Source organism: Homo sapiens, chromosome 1 (genome assembly GCF_000001405.40).
Source record: "Homo sapiens chromosome 1, GRCh38.p14 Primary Assembly".
Taxonomy (NCBI): Eukaryota; Metazoa; Chordata; class Mammalia; order Primates; family Hominidae; genus Homo; species Homo sapiens.
This window is the reverse complement of record NC_000001.11, coordinates 15,351,226-15,373,954: the sequence shown is the minus strand read 5'-3', so window position 1 is coordinate 15,373,954 and position 22,729 is coordinate 15,351,226. Positions and strand designations below refer to the sequence as shown.

Genomic DNA, 22,729 nt, shown 5'->3' with positions numbered 1-22,729 from the left:
ATATGGTGGCCACTAGACCCAGATGGACCATCCTAAATAGCTCAGGTTAGAGTTGGGTTTTTTTTGTGCGTGTGTGTTTTTGTTGTTTGTTTTGGTTTTTGGATCTTGCTCTGTTGGGTCTTGCTCTGTTGCCCAGGTTGGAATGCAATGGCATGATCACGGCTCACTGTAGCCTCTACCTCTGCGCTCAAGCGATCCTTCCAGCTCTGCAGCTGGAACTACAAGTGTGTGCCACCACGCCCGACTAATTTTTCTCTATTTTTTTGTAGAGACAGGATGTCGCTTTGTTGCCCACGCTGGTCTCAAACTCCTGAGCTCAAGCAATCCTCCTGCTTCCGCCTCCCAAGGTGCTGGGATTACAGGCATGAGCTACTGTAACCAGCCTAGAGTTGGGTTTACTAAGAGCACAGACAAAGAAAGGCCTTTTTCACCATTTTTTTTTTTTGACGGAGTCTTGCTCTGTCGCCCAGGCTACAGTGCAGTGGCGTGATCTTGGCTCACTGCAACCTCCACCTCCCGGGTTCAAGCGATTCTCCTGCCTCAGCCTCCTGAGTAGCTGGGATTACAGGTGCATGCCACCACGCTCAGCTAATTTTTTGTGTGTTGTTGGTAGAGACGGGGTTTCACCACGTTGGCCAGGCTGGTCTCGAACTCCTGACCTCGTGATCCGCCTCCCTCGGCCTCCCAAAGTGCTGGGATTACAGGTGTGAGCCACTGTGCCCAGCCGTCTTTTTCATCTTTTAAGGGTCATGTACCCTTTTAAGATTTGGAAGCATGCAGGGTTTTTTCCTCCAGAAAAATTCACATCGACACAAATATTTGCATACAACGTCCAGAGGGTCAAGACCTCCTGAAGTCCATTCATAAACTCTGAGCTAAACAATGCTTCTCTAGGGTAAGAAATTCATTCATTCATCTCACATCGATTTATTGAGCACCTCTATGTGCCAAGGCTTATTCTAGGCTCTGGGGATTGAGTAGTTGCTAAACCCAGCAACATCCCTGTTGTCATAGATTTTGCATCCTCATGTGGGCAGACAGACAACAAGGTGAAAATATCTGGTAGAAGTTATAAATGGTAAAGAGAAAATTAAGTGGGGAAACAGGGTGGGATGTTGGGAACCGTTTTCATTTGTAGATAGAGTTGCCAGGGAAGGCTTCAGTCAAATTGGCAAGAAAGAGAAGAAACTGACAATCTGGCTCTTTTATAATACTTTTTAAAATACCAGTTTTGGTTCATTTCATGCATATACATATACATATATAGATAGCTATAGATATGGAAGATAATATATATGTAGTATGAAGTGAACCAAAATTATTTTAGAAGTTGCCTATCCATCTATCTATTGAATGGTAGCAGTGGCTGCATGCCGGACACTGTTCTAGGCACTGGGGTGAGATCAGGGAGCAGGCAGACCAGCCCTTGCTGCTGTGGGTGCATTTTCTATGGGGCAGACAGGTAACAGACAGACAGGCGCACAAATACTCTGATTCTGGAGAATGATAAGTGCTCCGGGAAAAGAACGCAGAGGAGAGCAAAGGAGACATCTGTTTGTTCTTCCTCCTTTGATGGTTCAAATGCTTATCAGAGGCCTGTATGACACATCCCCGGCCCTGTGCTAGCCACACTGCCACCAGGGGAACAGGGCCCGTGGCCTCCTACAAGGGGTTCAACAGTGCCGTCTGAGGCCCTCCTGGGACGGTCCCCTACCCCCACCCCCATGTCCCCACCACTCGTTCCCTTCCTTCCTTCTGGCTCTGCTCCAGGTCTCCTCCAGCACAGGCCTCCCTGACCACCTGATCACCTGACCACCCCCATGCCCCCGCGTCACTGTGCTGAATCCTGCTGTGCAGTTCCTCAGAGCGCTTATTCCCACTGGACATTTTACTTGATCTTGGCTTGTTTATTTCTGTGTCTCTCCTCCCAGATGACAGGCTCCGTGAGAGCAGTCTTTATCTCCTTTGAAGACTGTGCTATTCCCAGGGCCCAGCACTGTGTCTGAGCACAGTAGGTACTCAATAAATACAGAGCCTGTCAGAAACAGGAGCTGTAAGGAGCTTGCCCTGGCTTTCCAGCTGGGACCAGGGCTCAGCAGCGGTGAGAGGGAGGCAGCCCACCCTGCCTGCGCTTAGTACGGCCTCGCTTGTCCTTGGACCCTGTCTTCAGCCTGCTCACAGGATGCGTGGCTGGTTCCCTTCCAGCGCTGGCTCTACACTGGCCTTGGTCACCTCTTGAGGATGCGTGTTTGCCCCGGCAGTAAACAACCTGGAACGTTCTCCCTTGCTCTCTGTCTCTCTGTGTATAGCAGGGGGCAGCAGATACTGAGTTTTGGGGGCACAGGGGTAGCCATGCATTAAGGCTCCGTCACAGCCTGTGCTTGGCCTGAGGGGTACCAGGAGCTCCATGTGACCCCTCCTTGCGGATCTGCTGGGAATTTATTTATTTGGAGAGGATGAGATTCTTTCTCATACAACTCTTAAGCCCTCTGACCCACTCTGGCTTAGAAAGCAGGAAGGAGCCCGAAGGAGGAAAACCATTCCAAGAAGGAACAAATACATTTTCCCTTTTATCTTGCAGTCTCCCTCCCCCGTCCTCCTCCACTAATCCTTCCACATAATATAAACTAAAAATCAAGGGCATCCCAGTTCAACAATCCAGTCCAACAGACGTGCACAGAGTCCAAGGGCGTTTGGTGTGGGCGGGACCCTGTGCGTCTTCTCCTATCCCTGGCATAGGGCCTGACACACAGCAGGTGCTCAATAGTTGTTGAAGGAGTGAATGAATATGGGTCAGGTTCTGCTGTAAGAGCCTGGGATTCCAACAGGAGTGCCACACACCCCCTGCCCCACGGAGCTTACGGCCACGTGGACCTGCTGCAGCCCCTGCCTTCCTGGTTGCCCTGAGCAACCAGGAGACAATTCTGTTAAAGTGCTCTGGACAGCAATCGATGCCAAGGACAGCTGGCTGGACCTCGAGCCCTTTCGTTCAAGCTGTTTGCGGCCCTGGCTCAATGCTGTCTGGCAGGGGAAAGGCATCTCTGAGAGAGCCGGAAAGCAAGCTGACACATTTGGCCTGGCTTCCCGGTGAAAATCCAAAGCCCATTACTGGAACGCCATGCTCTCTAGGCTCAAAAAGCCCTGGGGAAAGAATAGCCCCAGGCTCCAGGAAACCAGGGCCTTGAGGAACCACTGAGTCTCACCATTGCATGCTGCGGATCATCGGGAGTATCACAGCCCCAGTCATAGGGACAGAGTGTGAGCACCTGCTTCCAGGGCGGCCCAATGAAGGCTGTTTTCACTCAAAGACACACTCCCATCAGATGCTTCTGGGCAGGTGCATGGAACAGCTACCAAGACACAGCCATGGGGCACTCACTACGTGGCTCTTCGGGAAGGCAGTTTGGCCCCATCAAGCACAATTCAGGAAGAACAAGTACATTAACGACAGCATTGCACAAGAGGAGAAATAACCTAAGTGTCCATCAAGAGGGGACTGGTTGGAAAAAAGAAACACAGTGGAATTCTACACAACCATTTAAAAGGGTAAGGCAGATCTTCATATACTTGCAAATATGCCCATTAAATACTGTTATGTAAAAATAAACCCATGTTGCAGAATGTACATGGTTTGATACCATTAGCAAAAAAATTATCTACTAAACAAATATCTATATGGGCCAGGCGTGGTGGCTCACACTTGTAATCTCAGCACTTTGGGAGGCTGAGGCAGGAGGATCTCTTGAGTCCGGGAATTCAAGACAAGCCTGGGTAACATGGTGAAACCTCATCTGTACTAAAAATACAAAAATTCGTCAGGTGTGGTGGTGTGCGTCTGTAGTCCCAGCTACTAGGGAGGCTGAGGCAGGAGGATCATTTGAACCTTGGGAAGTTGAGGCTGCAGTGAAGTTGTGATTGCACCACTACATTCCTGCCTGGGTGACAGAGTGAGACCTTTCCTCAAAATAAATGAATGAATGAATAAATAAATATATGTATGGGTTTGTGTGTGTTTGTTCAGGTGTGTATATACATAAAATGTATTTCTCAACCAACCCATAAGGTGGGGGTGGTCATTACTGTCAGAACAGGGAACTGGTGTACAGTGACCTCCCCAAGGTCACAGAGTTTCTAAGTGGAGGAGTTGGGATTCGAACACAGGTGGAACGAATCCACACCTGATCTTCAGTCACTGCATTTTCTTGACCATGTGAGAACGTGGAGGCCTCTCCGAGGGAAAGATCTCATGGCATGCACATCACACCGTGGACAGCTGTGACCTCTGGTGACTGTGACTAAAGAGGCAGTATTCTGCGATTTACTTTATACATTTCACACCAGCAAGCCATACTTTTGGAACTTAGAATGAAAGTGTCTTCAAAAGGAAAGACAGCCACCACTGGGCTGTGTCTTTGCACATCCTTCCAGTACCCAGGAGTGGGTGGCACTCACCTCTTGGCTGCTGGAGAAGGCCTCAGTGTGGACGGGTTCTATCTGCACAGAGGTGTCACACGTCTGGGTCTTCTTCCGGGGCTTCTGTTCCTTCTCTGTGTTCAGCTGGAGTCTGTGTTTCTCTTGGGAAGCCCTAGGGTAGAGAAGAGGAGGATGGCACGAGGTTCTGGAAACCACAAATTACTTTTACACTCATTGGAAGACCAGGACATGGAGCTCTATTTTTATAGGAAACAGAATTCTTTTGAGACTTGTTTCCTGTTCCCATATTTCTAGAGAATTCAGTTTCAGGGGACTTATGGGAGAGTGGCCAGGGCAGGGAACACCTGCCCTTGGTTCCTGCACGGGGGCTGAAGACACCTGCTGTGGCTTTACAGGGACATTCACTGCATGTCTGCTGTTTCTAACACTTTATGTGTGGCTAACCCTTCTATCTCTCATAACAATCCCACAAGTTAGGTACTCTGCTTGTCTCATTTTACAGACAAGTAAAGAGACACACAGCAATCTGCCTGCAGTCACCTTTCTTGTAAGTGGATGGTCTGGCTATTTTTTTTTTTAGATGGAGTTTTGTTCTTGTTCTTCCACCCAGGCTGGAGTGCAATGGTGTGATCTTGGCTCACTGCAACCTCCGCCTCCCAGGTTCAAGCAATTCTCCTGCCTCAGCCTCCCAGATAGCTGGGACAGGCATGCACCACCACATCTGGCTAATTTTGTATTTTTAGTAGAGACAGGGTTTCACTATATGTTGGCCAGGCTAGTCTCAAACTCCTGACCTCGGGTGATTCACCTGCCTCAGCCTCCCAAAGTGCTGGGATTACAGGCGTGAGCCACTGGGCCTGGTCTAGGGTCTGGCTTTGAAACCAGGCAGCCAGGTCTGGAGTCTGCTCCTTTAGCCACTATGTGAATCTGCTTTGGCCACGAGGCACACAAAGCTACCAGATAGCCACAAAACATCAATTTCAGTCAAACTCTTTTTTTTGTGAAAACAGGACTCATTCTAAAATATGGATAAGCTGAGGGTAAAAATGCAACTCACGGGGATTTTTAAAGATGAACCCATGGGACAATGACAATATTTTGTATGTATTTTAAGCTGACACCTCCAGTTTATTCATTTGTTAAATAAATATTAAGTTCCCTTATGTGCTGGGCTGGGAAATCAATAGTGGGCAAGGTCTACACAGACCCTGTCCTCGTGGGGAGGGCAGACAATAAACAGGCAATGGGGCCGGGCGCGGTGGCTCATGCCTGTAATCCCAGCACTTTGGGAGGCCGAGGTGGGTGAGTCACTTGAGGTCAGGAGTTCGAGACCAGCCTGGCCAACATGGTTAATCTCCATCTCTACTAAAAATACAAAAAAATTAGCCAGGCCTGGTGGCTCATGCCTGTAGTCCCAGCGACTCCAGAGGCTGAGGCAAGAGAATGGCTTGAACCCGGGAGGCAGAGGTTGCAGTGAGCCAAGATCGTTCCACTGCACTCCAGCCTGGGCAACAGAGTGAGTGAGATTCTGTCTCAAAAAAACAAACAAACAACAACAACAACAAAACAGGCAAAGGTAGCCTTGCTGTGTGCTAAGTGGTAGGTTAGACAGAGTGCAGGGGCTGAGGGAGCCCAAGCACAGCAGGATCCCTTGGCTATGCTTGGTGAGGGTGAGTGAGGGAGGGCTTCCTGGAGGAAGTGGCATTTAAGCAGAGACCTGTCATCTGGAATATTGGACAAGGAAGTTTGAGAAGCACAGAATAAGCCAAGCCATGAAACACATATCATTCATTCATTCAACTCCTCAAGCAGCATGTACTGAGCCCTCTCTCTGCAATACTCAGCGGCTCCCCACGGCAGGCAAACCATCCCCCCAACCCGGCCCCCGCCCACCCAACCTGAGTGCCTCCTCAAGGGCCTTCAGCTCCCGATCTTTCTTTTCTACCAGGCTGCTCATCTGGGCCATCTTCTCCTTGAGCACACTCAGCTCCTTGCTCTGCTGCTGGACCAGCACCACGTTCTGCTCCAGTTCCATCTTCTGCTTCTCGTTTAGCTCCCCTGCGAGTGACAGGAGGGCCGGTAAGGGGGTCTCTGCCTCCCGGGTTCAAGTGATTCTCCTGCCTCAGCCTCTTGTGTACGTGGGATTACGGGCATGCGCCACCACGACTGGCTAATTTTTGTATTTTTAGTAGAGACAGGGTTTCACCATGTTGGCCAGGCTGGTCTCAAACTCCTGACCTCAGGTGATCCACCCGCCTCAGTCTCCCAAAGTGCGGGGACTACAGGTGTAAGGTAGCTACTATTAGCATCCTTACTTCACAGATGCAGAAACTGAGGCTCAATGAGGTAAGGGACTTACTTGGGGTCATGCAACTAAGAGTGAGCAGATATAGAATTGGGCCCAACATCTCCCGTGAACTTGGCATTGTAGCCTCTACCCCACACTTTCTCATATCTTATTACAAAAAAACCTCAGCCATAAATGTCTTGGGGGTGTTAACAGGAATAGCTACAGGGAGCAAATATCCTGTAGGGTTTGGGATGGGGACAAGATAAGAGCATTCTCTTCCCTTCCTCCACTTCCCCGGGCTTAGTTCCATCTTCCAGCTCCTGCCTGTTTATGCCCTTTGGCTTGAGGGAGAGTAGAGATGGGAAAGAGAGGCTGCTATCAGATGCAAGAAGGAGGGAGGCAGAAGTAAAAGCACAGAGACAAGGAGGAACAAAGCAGGAATATGAAGGCGGCATTGTTTGTGTCTGTCCAGAACAGCACAGAACTCAGTTATTTTGCCCCTACTCTAGGGGCCACTCATGTCCATGTCAACCGTAGGAAGAAGGTGTGTTGTCTCTACTTGGCATCTGAGGAAGAGAAGGCCTGGAGAGGCCCCCTTGCCCTAGGTCCCAAAGCTAGTGAGTGCCGGGGCTTGTGCAAACTGGCCTGCTGCAGGGAGATCCCAGGATTGCCCTCCAAGCCTTTGCTTCCAGAAGCAAATCTGTGCTAAAGGAAAATTATCCCTGAAGAAGTAAGTTGCATTTCAGTGCAGAGGTCCAAAGTCCTCTGGAGAATGTGCCCTGCGCCCCTTGGCATTGAGTCAGAGACTCAGTGCGGGTAGGAATCAGGGACATATCCAGGATACGGCTTTTGCTGACCCTGAGTTAAAGGTGCTGCGACAGCACAGGGAAGCAGGATTTTTTATGCCAAGGTTTTCAACTCTTTTTTTTTTTTTTTTTTTTTTTTTGAGACAGAGTCTCGCTTTGTCGCTCAGGCTGGAGTGCAGTGGCGCGATCTCAGCTCACTGCAACCTCCACCTCCTGGGTTCAAGCAATCCTCTGCCTCAGCCTCCTGAGTAGCTGGGATTACAGGTGCCCACCACCACACCCAGCTAATTTTTGTATTTTTAGTAGAGGTGGGTTTTCACCATATTGGCCAGGCTGGTCTTGAACTCCTGACCTTGTGATCCAACTGCCTTGGCCTCCCAAAGTGCTGGGATTATAGGCGTGCGCCACTGCGCCCGGCCGACTCTTTAGCCTCATCTCCTTCCTTTCTCGAGTGGGTCAGGAGGTCAAGAGACACCAGAAATTGTTCAAACCTCTCAAATCCGACATTCTGCTGTGGGCTTCGGTAAGGTCTTTCCTTAACTTCATGATGACTTCCTGCTGAGACAGAATTTCCTTCTGAGCAGCCAATAAGTCATCTCTGAAATTCACAAAAACAGGTGAAGTCAGTTCAACTCAAACTCCATGTTATCTCCTGAGTGTCAGGAGGGGCCAAGTACAAATGCAAAGAGATTCTCAATCACGGTCCATGCAACGCCAGTCCCAGCAAAGGATGAGGACAGTCTTCAAAAACTCTAAAAGAAAAACGACTTTTTTCATGCACCTCATTTAAGAAAATACATTAAGGCCAGGCACCAGGCATGTGCTTGTAATCCCAGCACTTTGGGAGGCCAAGGCTGGAGAATTACTTGAGCTCAGGAGTTCGAGACCAGCCTGGGCTACATAAGTCAGAACCCCGTCTCTACAAAAAAAAAAAAAAAAAAAATTAGCCAGGCATAGTGGTGTGTGGCTGTTGTCCCAGCTACTCGGGAGGCTGAGGTGGGAAGATTGCTTGAGCATAGGAGTTGAAGGCTGCACTCCAGCCTGGGTGGCAGAGCAAGAACCCATCTCTAAGAAAAAAAAAAAGAAAGAAAGAAAAAAGAAAATCCACTGAGATAGAACACAGGATCTGGCTGAGTTGAGTCTGCGGCTCAAACATGCCTTGCATGAGACTGATACCCACTACCCACCATCATGAATGGATGTGCCTGTGGACTTCTGATGGTGGAGGGACATGGGAAGACTATTTTGGGGAGGTTCAGGGATTCTTTGGGGACAGGGAAGAAAAAAGAGAGGAAGACAATGTGGCTTTGTTCTCTCAGCAGCCCCTTTGAATTCCTGGTGGAGAGAGGTGGGGCCAGATGTGAATGAATGGTGTTCTTCTGGGAGCCAGTGGAAGTGTGGCCCAGGCAACAGGGGCCCAGGCAACAGGGGGACAGTGATGGTGATGGGACAACTTCCCCTCCCACACCCCTGGAGGGCAGCACACGTTTGGTGCCCTGAGACTCAGGATGGTTGATGGGAGGGAGGCTGCGCCCAGTGGAGAGGTGAAGGGCGCCCAGCAGGAATGGCAGGGGAGGCGCCTTGGTGGGGATTTGACTGGAAGAACACAGGGTGCATGTCTCAGCAAGTTGAGAAACTGCAGCCTGGCGGAGATAGGTCATGTGTGTGCTGCAGGGAGTGGGTCTTGCCCTTTTGGAAGGGGGTTAGGAGCCTTAGTCTTTGCAGGTATTAATGCCACTTCATTTGAGTTCACAGGCTTTTGAAATCCAGGCTCTTCTTATAAAGACTTTATTTTTTATTTATTTTTATTTTTTTGAGACGGAGTCTTGCTCTGTCGCCCAGGCTGGAGTGCAGTGGCGTGATCTCAGCTCACTGCAAACTCCACCTCCCAGGTTCAAGTGATTCTCCTGCCTCAGCCTCCCAAGTAGCTGGGACTACAGGCATCTGCCACCATGCCTGGCTAATTTTTGCATTTTTAGTAGAGACGGGGTTTCACCATGTTGGCCAGGCTGGTCTCAAACTCCTGACTTCAGGTGATCCACCCGCCTCGGCCTTCCAAAGTGCTGGGATTACAGGTGTGAACCACTGCGCCCCGCCTTATACAGACTTTAGAAGGTACTGTGTTTATTATGAATTAAAGTAAAACACTGGCAGGTTGCATGTCAAACAAACAAACAAAAAGACTGGTGATCATCAGAATGAAAATAACTACATAGATATAGTATATTCTGTGTGTGCATGCATGCGTGTGTGTCCACGTGAGTGTGTTCTTGGCTGCAACCACAAATCTTCCAACTTGAGGATAAAACCTTAGAATTCAAGCATGTTCACACGCCAAGGAAGTGGACCAGAGCAGAGCTGGGTGGTGCTGAGTCTTCTCCAAGTCATGGGCACCACCGTTTCTAGATTTTAAACAGGAGGAGGAGTCAGGAACTTTTCACAATGCGGAGGCTGAGTATCCTTGTCTTTTTGGGGTAAAAACCCTGTGACATTAGACTTCGGTCACTAGGATTTGGTGCAAGGGTCAGGCAGGTGGTTCTCCTCTTGGGGGAGCTTCTGAATCCCTCCACTGCATCCCATCGGCGCCTCCTTCTTTACGTGCTGCTTTCTGGATCTTTCCCATTCATACGTTTGTTTCTCTGAAAACTGTCAGTTCTTTGAGGATAGACTTCTTTGTAGACTCACTGGCTTTCAGGGTCAGGAGAGTTGAAATCATTTATTTAAGGTCACTTAGCCGACCCCTTAACTTCTCACCCTTTACAGGGCCCCGCCCCACCAAGTGGTCTCCACTGTTTGAAATCTCTGTCTGCTTAATAACACCTGTGAGTGGGCTTGCCTCTAGCTGATCCTCGGGAAAACTAGCTAATAACAGTATTAGCTAGATTTCCCAAGCACTAGGCATGTACAGCCTTACTTCACAAATGTGGAAGCTAAGGCTCAGTGAGGTGGCGTGACTTGCCCAGGGTCACACAGCTGGAGTGTTGAGTTGGGATCTGCTATGTTTGAATGTTCATCCCCTCCAAATCTCAAGTTGAAACTTAACCCCCAATGTGGCAGTATTGAGAGGTGGGGCCTTTATAAAGCGATTGGGTCACGAAGGTACAATTATGGATTAATAGATTTGTGGACTACTGAGTTAGTGGATTAATGGGTTATCATGGCAGTGAGACTGTGGATTTATAAAAAGAGGCAGGGAGACCTGAGTTAGCACGCTCAGCCCCTGGATGTGATGCCCTGCACCACTCCCAGACTCTGCAGAGCCCCAACAGCAAGAAGGCCCTCACCAGATGCAACCCCTCAACCTGGGACTTCTCAGTCTCCATAACTGTAAGAAATGAATCTCTTTTCTTTATAAATTACCCAGTTTTGGGTATTCTGCTATAAATAGCAGAAAACAGTCTGAGGATCTGAATGTAGGTCTACCTAAATCTTTCCACGACACTGCCCTGCCTTGCTGAAGGAATGGGGAAGTGGAAGCAGCACTGGGAAGGCAGCAGGCCTGGCTCCTTGTTTGGCTTCTGACAATGTGGTCTGGGCTGAAGGAATGGGGAAATGGAAGCAGCACTGGGAAGGCAGCAGGCCCGGCTCCTTGTTTGGCTTCTGACAATGTGGCCCAGGTAGGGGCTGGTTGCCTGTTTGCCCCCACCCAGGTGGTGCCGGTGAGAATGCCTGGCGCTCACACACCCACGGGTACTCACATCAGATGTTCGTACGCCATGTCTTTGGCACTGCTCTCTGTCATGGGAGCCACCAGAGGGTCTTGCGGCCTTTCCTCCTTTGGGGCTGTATCAGAGGGACATGTGATCATTGTGAGAGGAAACTGTCCTTCCCCTTTGCTTACAAGCACACCTGTGTCTTTCACAACTTACAAACCCTGCCTCCACCTGCAGCCCTCTCCACCTTGTGAGACCTGCACGTGTGCCATGTCACAGGCTGGGGGCTCTCCCCAAGTGTGTGGCCATGCAATCTTCCCAGCTACTCTAGAAGGCAGGGGCCATCAAATCCACTTACAGACAGGGAAAGGGGCACCGGAGTGATGGAAGCTGCCGGCGACCCACTTGGCTAAGCTGGTGAGCAGTGCAGTCTCAGCCCCTGGTCCCACCGCCTGCCTGTCTCTCTTGGAAGAAGAATCTGTGTTTAGCGCCTTCCTCTCCTCACCTCCCATTTACACCTCAGTGCACCGCCTCTAGCGTCCTGTCTCACTACTCAGTCACATGTTCACTCACTTGTTTATCCTCACGTGTTCACTCACTTGTTTATCCCTTCAACTAACATTTGTGGAGTGCATACTGGTCTAAGTACGGGGGTGACAAAGATGCAGTCACCCTTCAGGTCCCAGCTCAATCTCAAACACCCTCCCTCTGACCTGGACGTCACCCTTCAGGTCCCAGCTCAATCTCTCTCTTTCTTTTTTTTTTTTTTGAGACAGAGTCTCGCTTTGTTGCTAGGCTGGAGTGCAATGGCGCGATCTCGGCTCACTGCAAGCTCCGCCTCCCGGGTTCAAGCGATTCTCCTGTCTCAGCCTCCCGAGTAGCTGGACTACAGGCGCGCGCCACCAGGCCCGGCTAATTTTTGTATTTTTAGTAGAGACGGGGTTTCACCATGTTGGCCAGGATGGTCTCGATCTCTTGGCCTAGTGATCCGCCGGCCTCGGCCTCCGGAAGTGCTGGGATTACAGGCGTGAGCCACTGACCTGGCCCCCAGCTCAATCTCAGACACCCTCCCTCTGACCTGGACTCTGGATTGGGAAACTGAACTCCACTCTTTGTCCTTGTCATGGTGCCCTATTCATCCTGGATCACCTGTCAGGGCAATAATTTTGTTACTACGGGGACAAAATCTGGTTTGTCCATCATTGGATCCTGAGTGCCTACATGAGATTGGAACATAACAGAAGCTCCACCGAGAGAGCTGAGTGAGTGAATGAATGAGGTAAGTCCTGATGGCTTGCCAGCTTGCTGGGGACTACAGCCATGTTTCTTAAGCAGGAGTGAATTTGCCTCTAGGGGACATTGGGCAATGTCTGGAGATATTTTTGGTTGTCCCAACTGGGGTAGGGGTGCCACTGGCAACTGATGGATGGAGGACAGGGAGGCTGCTAACACCTGATAGTGCCCAGGACAGTCCCATCCATGAAAAAATGATCCTGCTCCAAATGTCAACAGGGCTGAGGCTGGGATACCCTGGCCTGAGTCCTCTACTTCCAGAACTTTCTTCAAGAGCTTACAATAATACAGCTTACCTTGGCCATTTGGGGCAAATAAGTGCTCACAAGTCTGAGTTCTTTTTTCAGCCTCTTTAGGGTTAATTTTTTAAGGGATAAATCCTGGCTGGTAATGAGTGCATTAGTGAAGATGCAAAAGGCCGATGGCAGAGAGAAACCTTTGAAAGGCCCCTGCATGAGATGTTTTCATGTGGAAAAGATGATTCCACTTCGCGCTGCCCTCGCTGGCCCTGACAGCCCCGGTAGCCTGTGTGTCTCGCCGGCTCACTGAGTAGGCACAAAGGATGTCCCAACTCATTGCCATGACTTCTGCTGAACCTGGGCCTCGGAGGGCTTCTGACATCGTTGTGTAACAAGAACAAAAGGGGGCCTCAGAGAATGAATGAGCTTTCGAATGAGGCACGGCCTTTTTCTTAGCCATCAGCCTGTTGGGACCCAGCGGACAATCAGAACCTGCCCCGAACACTAAGATTTCCTTGGCCTCCCTTCGGACTTACCTGGGTCATTGTCCTTCAATGTTGCAATCTCGCCTTCTATTTTTTTATGGTGCTGAGTGACTTTCTGGAGTTTCTCTTCGAGGCTCACAATTGTCTGGGCGTGCTGTTTGATTTGCTCCTTATATTCCATGATCTCTTCTTCAAACCCGTGTCTCTGTGATTCCTGCTCATCCTGGAGGGCCTTTACCATCTTCTGCTGCAGGATTAGCCGCTCTTCCACCATGATCTGGGAAACAGAGAGTCACTCAGTGAGGTCTTGGGAGCTGTGTATGACGGCAACAATAATATGCCCCCTGGGCACACACATAGGTGCTAAACTGGGCCCCACCCCAGGGCCTTAGCACATGCAGTTCCCTCTGCCCTGTGCACTTCTTCCCCAGCTCCTTGCATGGCCAACTCCTTCTTGACTCTCAGGGCTCAGCTCCAGCATCACGTCCTCTGAGAGGCCCTCCCTGACTACCTATCAGGAGTAGCCCCAGACACTTTCTGTTCCAGCGTCTGTTTCATTGTCCCTGAAGCCTTTAATTTTGTTTCTTTGTTTCTCTTCCCCGCTAGAAATGTAAACTTTTTGTTGTTGTTGTTGTTTGTTTTGAGACAGAGTCTTGCTCTGTCACCCACATTAGAGTGCAGTGGCACTATCTTGGCTCACTGCAACCTCTGCCTCCTGGGTTCAAGCGATTCTCCTGCCTCAGCCTCCTGAGTAGCTGGAACTACAGGTGTGCGCCAACACACTCAGCTAATTTTTTTTTTTCTTGAGACGGAGTCTCTCTCTGTCACCCAGGCTGGAGTGCAGTGGCGCGATCTCGGCTCACTGCAAGCTCCGCCTCCCGGGTTCACACTATTCTCCTGCCTCAGCCTCCTGAGTAGCTGGGACTACAGGCGCCCGCCACCACGCCTGGCTATTTTCTTGCATTTTTAGTAGAGATAGGGTTTCATCATGTTAGCCAGGATGGTCTCGATCTCTTGACCTCATGATCCGCCCGCCTCGGCCTCCCATTAATTTTTGTATTTTTTTTTTAGTGGAGATGGGGTTTTGCCATGTTGGCCAGGCTGGTCTCAAACTCTTGACCTCAGATGATCCACCCACCTTGGCCTCCCAAAGTGCTGAGATTACAGGTGTGAGCCACTGTGCTCAGCCAGAATTTGCATTTCTTAAAAACAAAAAATTACTAATGACCCCCGAATGGCAAATCTGCTGCTTTCCCATGCCTACAACCTCCTAAGGCTCCCCTTGGCGTTTCCATCCCAGCACCTCCTCCTCACTGCCCGCCTTCTGCTCCCACCTCACCCTGTCCTGCTCCCTATTCCCAGGTGACGTGCTGGGCCTTGGCCTCTGATCTACCCATGACAGATACATTCTTTGCCCGAGACACTCACACATGCCTGCTCTTCCAAGGACCCTACCTAAGAGGCTGCCTTCCAGATTAGGCTCTTGTCTTGCTTTCTCTCCCAAAACTATTGTGCACCCAAATCTCGGGAGCTTTTGGACTTTGATGCCCTATCCTCGCCTTACTCCTCTTGTCTCCTCTTCTCCAAAAGAGGGTCGCTCCAAGAGAACCCCCCACCATGACCCCAGACCTCCATACTCCCATCCTTATGTCGTCCCTATGCCATCAGGTCCCCAGGCGCCCTGGCCTGAAGTGTGCAGTCTCCTTCGGCACTGTCCTCTCCTTGGTGCTCACGTCCTGCCAGCAGTTATCAAGTCCTGCCATCGTAACTCTCTCCAGAGACTCCCTTCCCCCCACGCCTCCCCCAGCTCCCGCCAAGGTCAGCTCCTTATGATTCTGGTCTACACCACGTTCCACACCCAGAGCTGTTCTCTCCAACGCCACACCCTCGTGAAATTTACTCTGTGCTCTTCTGGGAGATTCACCTTCATGAATTCCTTGCCCAGAAACCTGTCGGTTGAACGTGTGGATGACAGAGGGAATGCACATCGAGCCCTAATTGTGGAGGGCCTCGAATGCCGAGCCTACACTTTAATGCATTGTCTTAAAGCCTGTGGAATCGTCACTCATCACTCAATCCTGAGGCTCTCCAGGCGTTCTGATCCTGTGAGGACCCTGCATTACAACATCTCAGAACACCGTGCAGAGAGGGCATCCTAGCTCTGTGTACATTTCGTTCTAAACCAACGCTTCTCATTAGGGGTCCATTAAGGGACACTTGGCAATGTCTGAAGACATTTTTGGTGATCACGACTGTGGGGAGAGGGCTCCTGGCATCTGGTGGGTAGAGAACAGAGGTGGTGCTAAATATCCTAAGATGCTCAGGACAGCCCCTGACAGGAAAGAGCTACTTGGCCCAGAACATCAGCAGTGCTGAGGCTGAGAAGCCCCGGTCTAAACCACACATTCTCGTGGCACTGTAATCTTCCATTGAGAGAAAAATTCTCCCGTTCCCGGAAGGCACCGACTTACCATTTTTGTCTTGGTAGTTTCCAGTTCGGCTAATGTTTCATTTAATTTCAAGGCGAGGCTCTCTGCTTTTAGACTTTCAGTTGCCTTTGTTTTCTGAGTCTCTTCAACCATGGCCAGTGCGTCACTTAATTTATTATTTAAAACGTCCTCTTTTTGCTCTTTTAATTCTAATTCCTAGACAAAAAAACAAGTAGCAAAATAACAGACATTCAGGAATACATATTTACCCAGCCCCCTTATCCCCCACCTTCAAGGACAGGGTAAAGTCTATTCTCTAATTATTCTGTCGATTCTTTTAAAGCACAAAGTCCATGCCTTCTCTGGAAGGTTCCAATTATTATAGAACTCGTCTTTATATTCAGCGGAGATCTGTCTCCTTGTGATTTCTGGTCTCTGAGCTCAGTTCTGTCACCTGGAGCTCATTGAGTATGTTTTATTTCTCTTTTATGAGACAGCCCTTTAAATATTTGAGGAGGGCTGTCATGTCTGTCTCTAAATCTGTTCTCCAAGATGAATGTGCTGAGTCCCTTCTCTCCTTCACTGCAACACCTGCCTTCAGGACACCCCCCTTTCCTCCAGGGCTCCAGCGGCCCTGTCCTGGGCATCTCTTATCCCTCCTCCCGGAACCCATTCTCCTTTTTTTTTTTTTTTTTTTTTTGAGACGGAGGAGTCTCGCATTGTCACCTGGGCTGGAGCGCAACGGTGCTATCTCAGCTCACTGCAACCTCCGCCTCCCAGGTTCAAGCGATTCACCTGCTTCAGCCTCCCAAGTAGCTGGGACTACAGGCACACGCTACCACACCCAGCTAATTTTTGTATTTTTAGTAGAGACGGAGTTTCACCATGTTGGCCAGGCTGGTCTCGATCTCTTGACCTCGTGATCCGCCTGCCTCGGCCTCCCAAATTCTGGGATTACAGGCGTGTGCCAACGCGCCTGGCCCCATTCTTTTGATCTTTCATAGTCAACATTCTATTCTGAGTCCCTCCTGCAATAATGTGAAGTGTGGGCTTCTTGAGTGGCACTGTGCTGGGCATCTTACGAACATTATTTAATCCAATTTAAAATATATTCAAAGTACTGGGCATTCTTAAACTCTGTTGGTGGAGGTGCAAACTGCTGTGACCTTTCTAGACACTCACTCAGGAATGTGTATTATGAGCCTGAAAATGTGCATGTCCTGTGACTCAGCAACTCCACTTTAGGGAATTTTTCCTAAGGACGTAAAGACTGATGCACAGGGTGGGTCAGCCGGGCATCTGCTGCACTAGTGAAGAGTGAGAAACCACCCCAGGGGAGAAGAAAAGAAATCGGCTTCCATCCAGCACAGTGCAAACCCAGGCCATGGAAGATTGTTCGATGACATTGAGACATTCTACGCAACATGAAATCATTCAATTTTTTTTTTTTTTTTGAGATGGAGTCTTGCTCTGTTGCCCAGGCTGGAGTGCAGTGGAATGATCTCAGCTCACTGAAACCTCTGCCACCCAGGTTCAAGTGATTCTCCTGCCTCAGCCTCCTGAGTAGCCGGGATTACAGGCACCCACCACCACGCCCGGCTAATTTTTGTATTTTTAGCAGAGATGCGGTTTTGCCATGTTGGCCAGGCTGGTCTTGAACTCCTGACCTCAGGTGATCTTCCCACCTCGACCTCCCAAAGTGCTGGGATTACAGGCGTGAGTCACTGTGCCTGGCCAAAATCATTCAAACTTAAAGCGGTTGAAACCTTAAATTATTTTGAGACTCGAGAGGAATGTGGCTGTGTGGCCTGGGTCACGTAGCACGCACCTGCAACTTCTATTCTTTTCTGTAAATGAGTGGGAAAGCCCTGGCCACGCCAGAGATGACTCCTTCAGATGATCACCCCTCATCCTGGAATAGTAAAGCAATTTTCCCAGGAATGTAGCAAGCTGTAACCAACCAAAGGGCTATAACCGCATGTGCTGACCTTGTGTGGAAGACACTGCGATCCTGTTAACTGCCTATCAAAGTGAAACTTTCACCTCCCTGCTTTGGAACACTGACTCATTCTTTTGAAGTCTGTTTTCTGGGTTGCCGTCCTCAAGCTTTGAGCTCGAATAAACTCTATGCTTAGAGAATCTCATTATTTAAGGTTGACACATCGTATAGTAAATATCAAAAATAGCATCCGAAGCAGTGTGCACAGTGTCACAGTGTCAATCACTAACTTGGTCATAAATCGGTAGTTATCGATATCGATGCTGAGGCTCAACACAAAGGCTGTCTGGAAGGAATCACATCAAAATGTCGATAGTGGCAACTGTGCTCAGTGGACTCTATGTTAGTTATTATTTTCTTTGGAGTGATTTTCTGTTTTTTTTTTTTTTTCAAGTTTTCTAGAATGACAGGTTTTTTTTTATAATCAGGAAAGAAAACACTTTTTTTTGAATAAATTAAATCCCTATACCGTTTTCATTGTGTTATTCCTGCAAGCCTTGCCTGGGAGTTGCTGCATCCTCTGTGTACCTCCGCTTAACTCCGTCTGATCCTTTTTCAGGGTCTTAACCTTGCTGTTACTGTTGGGATATTCCACGGAGGACCTCATGCAGACCTGGCCTATGGAGGTGCTCACTGGGGACACTGGCAGGCATGCCACGGAGTAGCTTGTCACGTACAGCTCAGCGATGCACCCCAGGGGTCCCAAATAATTCACAACAAACTGCAATTGTTTCTTTGAAGAGCTGTGAAGCTGCCCTGCTTACGAGTAGACCATGCAGCCTGCCATCTTTGCTCCCTGGCAGCTACTCAGCAGCTTGTCCAAGGATAGGAGAACAAAGTTCACCGGTCCCATGCGTTTGAAATTCCTTTCCTCTCTCCTCTCTCCCTTTCCTATTTTGCCTATATGGATGAAATCAATCTTTGATTGCTCTTCCGAGTGTACAGATAAAATAATGTGCAAACAAGCAACTCTCTGCCTGACTGTACTTGTATTTCCTTGGATTTTCCTGGTAAATGGTGAATTCCTGGGCTGGGTCCTGTTCCTGCTTGTCTAGGGTAATGTCACCTGTCTACTTTGAGGGATGCCGTAAGACCCCACTTTCTTTTTTTTTTTTTTTGAGAAGGAGTCTCACTCTATTGCCCAGGCTGGAGTGCAATGGCATGACCTTGACTCATTGCAACCTCTGCCTCCCGGGTTCAAGTGATTCTCCTGCCTCAGCCTCCCAAGTAGCTGGGATTACAAGCATGCACCACCATGCCTGGCTAATTTTTGTATTTTCAGTAGAGACGGGGTTTCACCATGTTGGTCAGGCTGGGCCTGAACTCCTGACCTCAGGTGATCCACCCACCTTGGCCTCCCAAAGTGCTGGGATTACAGGCGTGAGTCACTGCGCCCGGCCAAGACTCTACCTTCTGGTGTTACTGTTCTAAGGATATTGTTGAGAAGGTTGCTTCTTGCAGAATCCTCTAAGTAATGACCCTTAGGAGAGATTCTCTCTAGTCTAGTATCAAGAATGGTCATATTTCCACGAGCAGTTGGTCTATTTTTGTCTAGTAAATTGTACAACCAGCTGGGCCTTCCCTTGCACTGTAATTGCTGGAGTAAAAATTGTGACTCATTCGTTGATTTCATGATATACTTTTTTTTTTCATTAGTCTCATTCTGGATCCCTTTTATGTCCCAACTTACCTACTTTTAAAACTTTAACCTCTCCTTTTTGCCTACCCATAGTGTATTTCACGGAGGATCCATGATACATCATCTGGGGGACACGGCTGCTTGGGAAGAGACTGCCTTTCTCGGGCTCTCCCACAGCCTGCAGCATGTGCCTCCCTGCAGGGGTCCTCTGTGACCATGACAGCCCTGGGCTGACAAGTCCGGCATCACTTCACCCAACTCTCGTCTGCCTTCTCTGGACACATGCCAGTTACTCAAGGCCCCTCTTAAAGACTGGTGTCCAGGGCTGACGTGCGATCCAGATGTGCCTTCTGGACTATTCTCCCTAGAGCAGCGTTGTTTAAAGTGCATCAGCGCCACTTGGGCTGCTTATGAAACATGCAGCTTCCTGAGTCTGTCCTCCACCCAGGGGGTCAGAATTTCTTGGGGTGGGGTCCAAGAAACAGGCATTTAAAATAAATTCCCCAGAGATTCAAATGCATGCTAATGTTTGCAAACCTTTCTTTGAAGAAAATGATCCAAGGTTGATGTGAATAGAGACCTTTTTAGTCCTAGCTGGTCCTGAAAATCCTTTGAAGTCATAGTCACCTATATTTAAATTTAACCCATGATTGCCAGGCTGCATGTTTATCAACTGCTTTGACTTTGACATATTGGTCATTGTGTGTGTGTTTTGTACTGCTGGGACTCAGGCGAAGTGAATTATGCCCTATTGCTTATGAGGTACCCAAGACAGGGTCAGGTGCGAAATCCACTTCTATTCCTACTGCGTTTACAATTCTCAGTGATAACAGTAAATGCATTTTGATTATGAAGGTGATGACAATTATGATGACAAACTCTGCTGGGAAAACTGATATCAGCCTGATCAGAGATCCAGGTATCCATACCCTAACATCCCTCTTTTTTTTTTTTTCTTTTCTTTTTTTTTTTTTTTTTTTTTTGAGATGGAGTCTTGCTCTGTCACCCAGGCTGGAGTGCAATGGGGCAATCTCGGCTCCCTGCAACCTCCGCCTCCCAGGTTCAAGCGATTCTCCTGCCTCAGCCTTCTGAGTAGCTGGGATTACAGGCGCGTGCCACCACGCCCAGCTAATTTTTGCGTTTTTAGTAGAGATGGGGTTTCACCATTTTGGCCAGGCTGGTCTCGAACTCTTGACCTCAGGTGATCTGCCCACTTCAGCCTCCCAAAATGCTGGGATTACATGTGCGAGCCACCGCGCCCAGCCAACATCTCCTCTCTTAAGCCAGGCAGCTGAGCCCACACAAAGCTGAAGTGTAGTAGAGAAGGAGGGATGAAGATTTAGCATTGGGGAGTCAGACAGTCCAGGCTTCGGATCCTGTCCCTCCACTTCCCAGCCATGAGTTCACCATGCTAACATGGGCAGCTGACACATACATGCGGAGTGCTGAGTGCTGGGTGCCTCTCCATATGTTCTGTGTGTATAACAGCAGTCATGTCTCACAACAACTCAAGGAGATTGATCTGTGTGTATTGAGTGTATTTCATAAGTGGGGAAACTAAGGCACAGAGATGGTAAGGTACTAGCCTGAAGTCCCCCAGCCAGGGATGGGGAGAGGTAGGATTTGAACCCAGAGCCTGGCTCTAGAGCACTGCCCTTCGCTGTGCTGGGCCCCTCTCGTCTCTCCCTCCCTGCGGCTCATACCTCTTTCTGCTTGGTTAAGCGATTCTCCAGGTCTTGCACCTTTTTCTTTTCCTTCTCCATGGCCTCCTTTGCTTTGCGTTTCTCGTACGCAATGTTGCTCTCTGAGATCTGGAAGTCAATGAAAGTGGTTTGAGGGCCTGTGCCCTCAAAGGGAAATGACACTGGAAAGGGAAACCAGGACGAGTCACCGTGGAAGCCACCAAGTCAGGGTTGGAGAGAAAGATCTCAAAGAACAAAGCACCCACTGGGGACAGAGGTGAGAACCATGGCATGCCCACCATGGTGAGAACCCGGGAGCCATATCTTAGTCACGTGTGTAAAGGAGAGAGTGAGTCATCATTCAAGACTTCAGGGCTGGTGTTCAGGAAGTGACATGCTGGTGAATGGTTGGGTCCTGGTGTTTGGCATTGAGTTACTAAATAAACTGGCATGTGCTGGCACCGATGCTGGCTTTTGTTGGAAGTACTTGGCCCTTTGGGAGGTGGGGCAGGAGAGACAGTGCTGGGGAGGTGCCTTCTGTCCCTGCAGACCCATGCCAATGGCTCCAAATGAGGACCCAGGCAGCCACTTCCAGTCTACAAAGCCATGGGTTTTCAAAATTCCTGTCTAGGTCAGTTTGGAGCTGAGAACACAAACGCCATAGACCTGGAGGGAACTGGAGGCCCAGACTCACCTGTACACGCCCTGGGAGGTAAACAGCTAGGGAGGGTTTGAAAAACTCTATCTGCAGCTGTTGAAACTCTTGCAATTATACACCTCCCCCGCACCAACATAAAGTTCACAAGAAAAGGATTTTAAATATACGTGTATATGTACAACAAAAGACCAGAGGGGTATGTACTGAAATGTAAGTGACAGTTTTTTGGGGGGAATTGGGATTATGGCAACTTTTATTTTGTTCTTTTCACAGGTCTATATCTTCTAAATTTTCTTTAATGCACAGGTATTATTGGCAAAAAGAAAAATGAATGAAAATCGTTACAGGGCATGCAGTGATAGGAGATGGGAACATCCTAATTCAAGGGACAGTATGAGACTCGAGGTGTGTGTGGCCCTCAAGGAAAGACAATGTTCCCAATGTTCCCGGTTTTAACATTACCTGTGTGGCACCCACCCACCCTACCCGCCTCTGCACATCCAACTCCCAGGCACCCCCCTCAACCACATCTCCCAGTGCAGACCTGGCTTTTTCTCACTGTTGAGTCTTTGCTTAAGATGGTCCAATCTGTGCCCTGGAGAGCTAAGTCCTGCCTGTCCTACAAGGTCACCCACACTCTTCTGCATGCCCCGTGGTGAGGGCTCTTTCCCTTCTCTTATTATGCACTACTTGGTGTGTTACAAATGAAAATACTCACAATGACCCTGTGCACAGAATGTATTAGTGCATCCAATCTGCAAACCCCCAGAGAGCATCTATCTGATTATCCCTGTTTCACAAGAAAGGAAACGCAGGCTGTAACCGAGGCAGTATAAAGACAAGCAGTGTTCCAAGGTCACAGCACCAGGAAGGAGTGGTGCAGGCTTAGACACCAGTGCCCTTGCCTTAACTACTCGGCCTCTGGGCCCTGATTCAAACCCTGCCCACTTGGAGGCAGGAGACTTTTTAAAAAAATTTTTTTATTTTAATTTTAATTTTTTTTGAGATGGAGTCTCACTCTGACACCCAAGCTGGAGTACAGTGGCGTGCTCTCAGCTGTCTGCAACCTCCACCTCCCAGGTTCAAGAGATTCTCCTGCCTCAGCCTCCCGAGCAGCTGGGA

General features: G+C 49.2%; 1 protein-coding gene across 40 annotated transcripts in view, besides 3 other annotated features; it reads right to left on the bottom strand.

Annotated features, from left to right (window-relative positions):
- Positions 1-22,729, bottom strand: part of FHAD1 (forkhead associated phosphopeptide binding domain 1) — a 166,490-nt gene that overhangs the window by 29,056 nt on the left and 114,705 nt on the right. For 37 of the 40 annotated variants that reach the window (XM_047443734.1, XM_017000198.3, XM_017000199.3 and 34 more), the window contains 7 exons: positions 20,971-21,078; positions 15,672-15,845; positions 13,252-13,477; positions 11,229-11,313; positions 8,022-8,128; positions 6,333-6,492; positions 4,453-4,585 (listed from right to left, as the gene is read on the bottom strand). In XM_047443734.1, coding sequence (XP_047299690.1) covers positions 4,453-4,585; positions 6,333-6,492; positions 8,022-8,128; positions 11,229-11,313; positions 13,252-13,477; positions 15,672-15,845; positions 20,971-21,078 — 993 coding nt within the window. Of the gene's footprint in view, positions 1-4,452; positions 4,586-6,332; positions 6,493-8,021; positions 8,129-9,637; positions 10,215-11,228; positions 11,314-13,251; positions 13,478-15,671; positions 15,846-20,970; positions 21,079-22,729 lie in introns of those variants that run through there. The other 3 variants (XM_017000213.2, XM_017000214.3, XM_011540597.4) reach the window with 3 other exon arrangements.
- Positions 8,542-9,042: an enhancer, noted in NCBI's record as "H3K4me1 hESC enhancer chr1:15691409-15691909 (GRCh37/hg19 assembly coordinates)". NCBI's record gives its function as "activates a minimal SCP1, AML or CMV promoter by ChIP-STARR-seq in naive H9 embryonic stem cells {active_cell/tissue: H9 hESC(naive)}" and the evidence as "EXISTENCE:reporter gene assay evidence [ECO:0000049][PMID:30033119]".
- Positions 11,698-11,767: an enhancer, noted in NCBI's record as "active region_235". NCBI's record gives its function as "activates an Ori minimal core promoter by ATAC-STARR-seq in GM12878 lymphoblastoid cells {active_cell/tissue: GM12878}" and the evidence as "EXISTENCE:reporter gene assay evidence [ECO:0000049][PMID:35858748]".
- Positions 20,784-21,983: an enhancer, noted in NCBI's record as "P300/CBP strongly-dependent group 1 enhancer chr1:15678468-15679667 (GRCh37/hg19 assembly coordinates)". NCBI's record gives its function as "activates an origin of replication core promoter dependent on BRD2, BRD4, P300/CBP, MED14 and CDK7 cofactors, with strong dependence on P300/CBP, by STARR-seq in HCT116 cells {active_cell/tissue: HCT116}" and the evidence as "EXISTENCE:reporter gene assay evidence [ECO:0000049][PMID:35650434]".